The sequence below is a fragment of the Homo sapiens genome, chromosome Y (assembly GCF_000001405.40).
Source record: "Homo sapiens chromosome Y, GRCh38.p14 Primary Assembly".
In the NCBI taxonomy this organism is placed as follows: domain Eukaryota; kingdom Metazoa; phylum Chordata; class Mammalia; order Primates; family Hominidae; genus Homo; species Homo sapiens.
Window position 1 is genome coordinate 20,898,585 of NC_000024.10, and position 10,118 is coordinate 20,908,702.

General features: G+C 39.8%; 1 pseudogene; it reads right to left on the reverse strand.

Annotated features, from left to right (window-relative positions):
• Nucleotides 3,269-9,028, reverse strand: TMEM167AP1 (transmembrane protein 167A pseudogene 1; annotated as a pseudogene).

The following is a 10,118-nucleotide window of genomic DNA, read 5'->3' on the forward strand; positions in this document are numbered from 1 at the left end:
ATCTGCTCTTGACATTAGGAAAAACCTCTGAAAATTGGATCCTGACCCTAAAATCCAACAATAGAACTTAATTACCCACATCTTTAAGGTGTGCAATGATAGAGAAGAGGCAGCCAAGTGACAACACATCTCTGAGTTACAGCTGCTTGCTTCTGCTGTAAGACAACCCACAACCAGGTGTCCAGTGTAGAAAAAATTCAGAACATCCAAGCCACAGCTCCCAGGTACTCCTTCAAAACCTCCACATGGACATTGCTTCAAATGGGAAAAACCTGGCCACTGGGCCTTAGAATGCCCATAGCCCAGGATTCCTCCTAAGCTGTGCCCTGTCTGTGCAGGCCCCCACTGGAGTGTGGACTGTCTGACTCACATTGCTGATGCTTCTAAAGCTCCTGGAGCCTAAACCCAAAATTCCTTGGCTGACTCTATCCCAGATTCCCTCAGCTTAGCAGCTGAAGAATCACACTGCCCAATCACCTTGGAAGCCCCCGGACCATCACGGATGCTGAGCTTTTGGTAACTCTTACGGTGGAGGGTAAATCCATCCCCTATTTAATCGATACAGGGGCTACCCACTCCACATTACCTTCTTTTCAAGGGTCTGTTTCCCTTGACCCCATAACTGTTGTGGGTGTAGACAACCAAGCTTCAAAACCCCTTAAAACTCCCCAACTCTTGTGCAGACTTAGACAGCATTCTTCTATGCACTCTTTTTTAGTTATCCCCACCTGCCCAGTTCCCTTATTAGGCCAAGACATTTTAACCAAATTATCTGCTTCCCTGATTATTCCTGGACTACAGCCACATCTCATTGCTACCCTTCTAGCCAAACCAAAGCCTCCTTCGTGTCTTCCTCTTGTACCCCCCGACCTTAACCTACAAGTGTGGGACACCTCCACTCCCTCTCTGGCAACCAATCACAGGCCCATTACTATCCCATTAAAACCTAATCACCCTTACCCAGCTCAATGCCAGGATCCCATCACACAACAGGTTCTTAGGGGATTGAAGGCTGTTGTCTCTTGCCTGCTACAGCATGGGCTTCTAAAACCTAAAAAGTCTCCTTGCAATTCTTCCATTTTCCCTATTCAAAAACTGGACAAGTCTTACAGGTTATTTCAGGATTTGTGCCTTATCATCTAAATTGTTTTGCCTAACCACCCTGTGGTTCCCAACTCATACACTCTTTTGTCCTCAATATCTTCCTCCACAACTATTCCATTCTTGACCTTAAAGATGCGTTTTTTGCTATTCCCCTGCACCCGACATCCCAGCCTCTCTTTGCTTTTACCTGGACTGACCCTGACACCCCTCAGTCCCTCAGCTTACCTTGGCTGTATTGCCACAGGGTTTCAGGGATAGCCCTCATTACTTCAGCCAAGCTATTTCTCATGATTTACTTTCTTTCCACCTATCTGCTTCTCACTTTATTCAATATATTGATGACCTCCTACTTTGTGGCCTCTCCTTTGAATATTCTTGATGGCAGTTCCACCAGGCCTAATCACCACTCACCAGAAAGGCAGGCTATGCCATAATATCTTCCACATCTATCATTGAGGCTACTGCTTTGCCCCCCTCTACTAGCTCTCAGAAAGCCAAACTCAATGCCTTAACTCAAGCCCTCACTCTTTCAAAGGGACTATGCATCAATATTTATACTGATTCTAAATATGCCTTACATATCCTGCACCACCATGCTGTTATATGGGCAGAAAGAGGTTTTCTTACTATCTAGGGTCCTCCATTATTAATGTCTCCTCAATAAAAACTCTTCTCAAGCCCACTTTACTTCCAAAGGAAGCTGCAGTCATTCACTGCAAGGGCCATCAAAAGGTATCAGATCCCATCATTCTGTACTCTTCAATAGAATGAAGGGTATACATCCCTTCATTCTATTAAGTCTAGTCATCCTTGCCCTACTTTTTGCAACAGGGCTTTACACAGTCACTCCCACTATTTGGAATGCACCCCAAAAACTTGTCATCCCTAATATCTTCTGTCTAGTCATACTCCTATTCACCATTCTCAACTACCCATAAGTGCCCAGCCCTTGTTTACACTGCCAGTTTACAGTTTCTCCAAGCCATCACAGCTGATATCTCCTGGTGCTGTCCCCAAACTGCGACTCTTAACTCCCTTATAGAGTGGATAGATGATCTTTGCTGGCAGGGCACCCTCCAATACTTTCACCCTGATGAAGTTCTATTATTTGCTTGAGCTGAGTTTTTGCTTACTGTTCACCACTGCTGTTTGCTGCCATCACACATCCACCACTGACTTCCATCCCTCCAGATCTGGTGGGGTGTCCACTGTGCTTCTGTTCCAGTGAGGCATCCATTGCCACTCTGAATCAGGCTAAAGGCTTGCCATTGTTCCTGCATGGCTAAGTGCTTGGGTACATCCTAATCAAGCTGAGCACTAGTCACTGGGTTCCATGGTTCTCTTCTGTGACCCATGGCTTCTAATAGAGCTATAACACTCACCACGTGGCCCAAGATTCCATTCCTTGTAGTCTGTGAGGCCAAGTACCCCAGGTCAGAGAACACAAGGCTTGCCACCACCTTGGAAGTGGCCCGCCACCATCTTGGGAGCTCTGGGAGGAAGGAAGCCCCAGTAACAGTGGGCTTGGTTTTACAGTTTATAACCCTATGGTAAATCATAGTATTCTGCAGGAATAAACATAAGGCCACTTGGTTTAAAAAAAAAATGCTAGCAAAATGCTAATAATTTTTAAGACATTGCTAATACTATTTTACCAATAATTTTAAAGCCACTTTATTTATTAAATATTTTGCTTAAGTCACATAAACTTGAAAAATCATTTGACTAGACTTCCTTTAAATATCTGATTTAAGCACTTTTTTAAAGCCAACTAACTACAGCTGTTTTATATATTTTTAGTAGTGAAATACTGTGTATACAACACATAAATGCATAGATTTATTTAGGCATGCTGATAAAATACATCTTAGATTTATAAAGACTTCTTTTCTTCCTTTTTTCCTATCTTAGACTTTCAAATTGTTGATAACATGTTGCATCACCCTAGGCAGTTGTCAGCTAAATAGTACTGCATTTGCATATTAAAGAAATCAACTCAGGTGAATGTCAGATAGCAAAATTTACATCATAAGGTGGGGGAGAAAAAGTTTGGTGTGCTAGAGGGAAATTAAATTGGATTTAACTGCCAGCTGAACATAAAACTGTAGAAATTATTAAAAACCTTTTATTTATTTATTTATTTATTTATTTATTTATTTATTTATTGAGAGTTCATCTTGACTTTTATTACATACTAGACATATGAACTAACCAGAAATGTGAATGATTCTCTCTACTATTAAAATCGCAGGAAATATATTTCCACCTCCCCATTTTTTTCTGATATTGCAGTAGCATTTCAGATTTTGGGGATTAGTTCAGGGCAAAGTAGAATTCATGGAAGGCAGTGCATAAATAATTATGAAGCTACTTTTCTGAAACTAGTAGTGACTTACTTCATAATAATCACAAGGGTGTGCAGCATTCACAATGCTGCCACTAATCAACTACATATTTTGAACATCTACTGTTACTGGATACCAAAGAAAGTGAGATACTTAAGAATCTTCCAGTCTTGTTATAAGCTTCCTATGATCCACTAACTTCTCAAAGGCTTTACAAAGTGCAAAAGTCCTTGCTTTTTGGAATTTTTTTTTGTGCACCCAGGATGTATAAATGCAACCCTTTTTGCTTCTTGTGCAGGTGTGTGCTTTAACAATCAGTGCTGCTTTTGGCATCAATGTAGTATGAGCTATTAAGAGCTTCTAAAAATACTGACCTAAATAGTCAGTTGCCTTCACCCTGTATACTATTCAGGCAAGTCTTCAGAAAGTATAGTGTTGTATTGCTAGTCCAAAATAAGGTAGGCATGAATATACTCAATCTTGTTTGCACATGCAGCAAAGAATAATTTAAATTTTTGCCCTTAAGGAGTTTTGTGTTAGGCAGGAGGAAAAACATATTCAACTTCAATTTTGAGGTTGGTAATCAACAGGAAAGAGAAAAATACAAGGCAGTCTAGGATCTAACCTCTGTCTACGTTTCTAGGCCTATGTCTTAATACTCTTGAAGTGGCACAAGATAGGTTATTTCTAGTTCTTAACAGGTGACTGTTCTTTTGCACAATGTTCTCAAGTTCAGCTTAAGCAATGCTCCTCTGGAAGTTCACACCCTAACTGAACAGTCACCTTTTTTGTTTTCTTCTGGAATCCTGGTATTATCTGAATAATAAAGGCCATCACATTGTACTTTGTAATATATACTTCATCTCTTTCACCTGTGCTCTATGTATTGTCACATGTGTCCGTGTGAAGAGACCACCAAACAGGCTTTGTATGAGCAATAAAGCTTTTTAATCACCTGGGGGTAGGTGGGCTGTGTCTGAGAAGAGAGTGAGCAAAGGGAGATGGGGTGGGGCCTTTTATAGGATTAAGGTAGGTAGTGGAAAATTACAGTCAAAGGAGGTTGTTCTCTGGTGGCCACAAGGTGCTCAGTGGGAGAGCTTCTGAGCCAGGAGAAGGAATTTCACAAGGTAATGTCATCAGTTAAGGCAGGAACCAGTCATTTTCACTTCTTTTGTGATTCTTCAGTTGCTTCATGCCATCTGGATGTATACCTGCTGGCTTGGGCTCAGAGGCCTGACATTCCTGTCTTCTTATATTAATAAGGAAAATAAAACAAAATAGTGGTAAAGTGTTGGGTTCGTGAAAAATTTTGTGGGTGATATGGAAAGATAATGGGCAATTTTCTCAGGGCTTCTTTGAGCAAGATTATGGGTCACATGGGAAACTAGAGTGGGAGAGATTAAGCTGAAGGAAGATTTTGTGGTAAGCAGTGATATTTTGGGATTGTTAGAAGGAGTATTTGTCATATAAAATGATTGGTAAAGGCCTAGATATGGCTTTGTAAGAATTGAGAAACTAAATGGAAGACACAAGGTCCAAATAAGAGAAGTAGAAAAAGAGGTATTCAAGGACTAAGAATTGTGAGGACCCAGTACATCAAATTAGAGAGTGCCCAAGGGGATTCAGTTTGGGTGGTGAGTTTTTTGGCTCTATACTTGACAGAGCCCTCCTGTTTCAGTTGGATGCTGAGCTCGGTGAGGTGTATTTTTAAAAGACCATTAGTCTGTTCTACCTTTCCTGAAGATTGAGGATTGTAAGGGGTATGAAGTTTCCACTGAATACCAAGAGCCTGAGAAACTACTTGGGTGATTTGGCTAATAAAGGCCTGTCTGTTATTGGGCTATACAGAGGTGGGAAGGCCAAGCCGAGGAATTGTGTCTGACAGAAGGGAAGAAATGACTGAAGTGGCCTTGTCTGACTGTATGGGAAAAGCCTCTACATATCCAGTGAAAGTGTATGCCTAGACCAGGAGGTATTTTAGTTTCCTGTCTCAGGGCATGTGAGCAAAGTCAATTTGCAAGTCCTGGACAGGGGCAAATCCTCATGCTTGATATGTAGGGAAGGGAGAGAGTCTGATAAATTCCTGAGGAGTAGTAGAATAGCATATGAAACACTGAGAAGTGATATTTTGAGGATAGATTTCCATGATGGAAAGGAAATGAGAGGTTTTAAGAGGCAGGCTAGCAGCTTGTAACCTACAAGGAAGAGGTTATGAAATGATGACAGAATAGAATTGGCCTGTGAGGCTGGAAGGATATATTTTCCTTGGTCCAAAACTATTTGCCTTGTGTGGGAAGAGATTGATAGTTGGAAGTTTCAGGTGGGAAGTAGTTGGGAGTGACTGATGAGAAGGAGAAAAACTGACCATGAGGGACAGAAGTTGGAATGCTAACCGCTTCTTTAGCTACCATATCAGCATAAGAATTGCCCTGAGAGATGGGATCTGGGGCCTTTTGGTGGCCCCTGTGGTGAATGACTCCAGCTTCCCTTGGAAGTAAAGCAGCCTTGAGAAGCCTTCTTATTAAAGAGGCATTAATGATGGAGGACACTTGTGTAGTGAGCAAACCTCTTTCAGCCCATATAACAGCATGGTGGTGTTTTGGCACCAAATGTCATGCACGTCTGTGTAAAGAGACCACCAAACAGGATTTGTGTGAGCAACAAGGCTGTTTATTTCACCTGGATGCAGGTGGGCTGTGTACAAAAGAGAGTCAGTGAAGAGAGATAGCAGTGTGGCTGCTTTATAGGATTTGGGTAGGTATTGAAAAATTGTAGTCAAAGGGGGTTGTTCTAAGTGGGCAGGGGCAGGGATCACAAGGTTCTCACTAGGGGAGCTTCTGAGACAGGGGAAGGAATTTCACAAGGTAATGTCATCAGATAAGACAGGGACCAGCCATTTTCACTTCTTTTGTGATTCTTTAGTTACTTTAGGCCATCTGGATGTATATGTGAAGTCATGGGCTCAGATGCCTGACACTAAGTTCTCCCAATTCTTAGTCCTTTAACACTTCTTTTTCTCCTTCTCTTATTTGGACCTTATGTCTTCTGTTTAGTTTCTCAATTCATACAAGATAGCATCAAGGCCATCCCCAATCATTCTATATGACAAATGCTCCTTCTAACAACCCCACAATATTGCCCCTTAACAAAAAATCTTCCTTCAGGTTAATCTCTCCCACTCTAGGTTCACATGCCACCCCTAATCCCACTTGAAGCAGCTGTGAGAAACCCTGCCCGTTATCTTTCTGTAAGACCCTGTAAAATTTTTGCTGCTCCAACACTTCAACACTATTTTGTTTTAGTCTTCATATTAATATAAGGAGACAGGAATATCAGACCTCTGATCCCAAGCCTGCATGTATACATCCAGATGGTGTGAAGCAACTGAAGAATCATAAAAGAAGTGAAGTTGGCCAGTTCCTGCCTTAACTGGTGACATTACCTTGAGAAATTCCTTCTCCTGACTCCGAAGCTCCGCCACTGAGCACGTTATGACCCCCCATCCCTGCCCATGAGAGAAAAACACCCTTTGACTGTAATTTTCCACTACCTACCCAAATTCTATAAAATGGCCCCGCCCCTATCTCCCTTTGCTGACTCTTTTTTTGGACTCAGTCCACCTGCATCCAGGTGATTAAAAAGATTTATTGCTCACACAAAGCCTGTTTGGTGGTCTCTTCACACGGAAACACATGACATGAGTTACTACGGGGAAGAATCTGTGTGCCTATCTTCCTGTTTTCAGTGATGATATGCTGAAAGAATGGTGTAGGAATATAAATATTCCGTTTATCAGTGCTAAGTCTTTTTCACAAAACAAGGCAGAGATCTACTCATTTTTGCTCTCTAAACTTGGAAAAGTTAATTTATCCAAATCTTTATTTTTTCCTAACTAGACTGTTCATCTTATTACTAAGATGAAGGAATGTATTGCAAGTTACATGTTACTATCATTCCCAGTATGAAAGAGCTACTTTGAATTTGAACATGTAAGAGCATTCAACATAGTGCCTGGCACAGTAGAACAGGGCATTAACAGGACACTGGACTTGATCCTCAAATTATTTAAGCTGATTGATTAACTGCAAACAATCTAATTAATATTATCTACTATTACTCCTATATATCTATTTTTAGCTAAGATTTAGGTCCTTCTTAGCATTGAAATTTTAACTGAATTTCAGTTGAACCTTAAGAAATGTTAACCATGACCTTAAAATAACTGCTGTATTCTAAAATTTGAAGTGATATTCCCAATATTCCTCTTGCCTAGATTAAAAATTGTTGAAGGTCTTCTTTCACTATCAAAGTTCAAAGATACACCACAGCATACAAATCAATATATTTAAAAACTATTTATCACGTCCAAAGTAATAAAAGAGATCCCAGTTCAAGTTGACAAAACACAAACTGGATTTAAAGTACTGTATTAAAAAAGAAAACAAAATGAAAATAAGTTTGTTTAGGGCAATTAAAATAAATATTTCATTTTTAAAGCCATGACACTAAAAAGAATGAAAAACACCTGTAGGATAGTTTTTTTATATATTTTTTTCATTCTAAGGATCTTGTGCTTTTCAGAGAAAGATAGCTTTCTCGTAAAAGTTCATGCACAAAACACTTACCTATACCTGACAAGAGGTTTCAGAGCCTAATCTGCCATTTGGTGAGTCTAAATCCACTAATGTTACATATCAACAATTTCCCACTACTTCTTTTAAGTTATGTCTCATTTACCTTCCTCCTTAAGAACTTCATAAGCTTGTTTTAAATATTTTATATACTTGTCATAAACTAGAGTTTGCTAAGAGTACCGGTACTCTGGTTAATGATCAAAATGGTGTGCCCAGAGGAAAAGCAAGCACTCTTAAATATGAATGCAATCCTTATTAACACAAACTGAGACATTTTAATAAAATGTTAGCCCAAAAAACATCTCATTCTATAAAGATTAAACCATTTCCAAATCACAGTGAAAGGAACTTGAGTAATGAACAAATTTTGTTAACTATGTGCCTTAGAGACATCTCACTAAAATTTGGGTATCTGACACAATAGAATAACATTTGCAGAAAGTAATATTGTAGGTACAGTACTCAGATTGATTGTTACAGACTATTAAATGGTTACATCTTAATTATTTATACAGAACATTGGTCCAATAACATAAAAACAGAGAAAAGCATCTAGAAATTTATCTCTTTCAATGTTTGGAGATAAAACAGTTAACCATCTTTTCCATTATTTTCTGCAGTAAGTCCTTGTACACAATGAAAGTTGATGGCAATTAAATTCAGGAATTTTCCCCAGCTACTGTATGAAGAGAATGTTGAAGCCCATTACTATACAGCACACTGCAACATAAGGAATCTTCCATTCACCAATTCTGACACACTTCCAAAATATACCCAACAATTCAGTTTCATTTCTGTCCATGAGGCTGGGTGCCAAGGATTGAATATAAACACAGGTACATATAAGCAGCAAGATTATGGTCAATAGACTCTGAAAATTGAAAATAGCAGACATAGCAAGGATGGCAATGCCACAGCCACGTCACCCTTCCGGGCCCCAGGTGGCTTAAAAACCTTTTAAATATACACACACATACACATACACATACATATACATAAAAACACAAACATTCCATAGTATTACTTCAGTACTTTGAACATGAGATAATAAAAAACTCCCCAGCTTGCAAATTACAAAAATTCTGTTAGCACTAAATTGTGGTTTTTATATTAGTAGAAAAGCAAGAGCAGATTAAAAGCTGGCAGAAAATGAAATAAAACAAAAAAAAGAGAGAATATGAATTCTGTAGTTTGCAAGTCAATCATAGGGCTGTTTTTCCTTAATGTAAATGTGCATAAAAACCATATTACTTCTATTTTACATATACTATAGCAAGCTGTGGTGCCACAAACCTACAGAGTGCTTGAAAAAAGATTATTCTCTTTGTTTTTGTCTTTTTCATAGATTATTTGTTTTACACATTTATTTCTTTCTTCAAAGGGGGCACTGAGCTGCGCCCTAGTGTTTCTGTGTGGTGGACTGATATGCTGCTTGTAGGCAGGACTTCACAGTGTGTCACCACTGATTCATTTCACCTGCTTACACACATCCCATGAAAAGTCTATAACCTTTGAGAGGGCTCAAGACACTAGGTGATCAGCCCTTATACTCATTTTCTGGATGAACCATTTGTACAACAAAATTTTTTGGGGGATTACTTTGTGTGACTGCTGCACATCATGGGAGATCAACCACCCAGCCAGTCCCATGAAGTCTCCTGTCACTCAGGGGTGTCTTTCAGCTGGGAGGCACAAATGCCCTTTTCCTTTGGAGCTGAGAAATCTCAGACTCTGCTTCACCTACGTAAACAGCAGTCCATTTCCTCACGCAAATGTGCACAAACTGAATTAAGATTAATTCTGGGGAAAAAAAAGAGAGAAAACACTTTAAAATGCATCTCTGAACTAGAATTAGAACCCTAAAACAACAGCTTTCTAGGAGAAAACCCAGCTTGAATAAATCCAGAACTGTCAACCAAAACAGAGATCTCGGGCCCAGGAGGACTTACCATCTCCACTGGAGGAGAAGCTTGAAGTTGCATAGGCTCTAATGGGTCCTGCAGGTGCCTTAGCTCTAAGTTTGGGTAACTCCTTT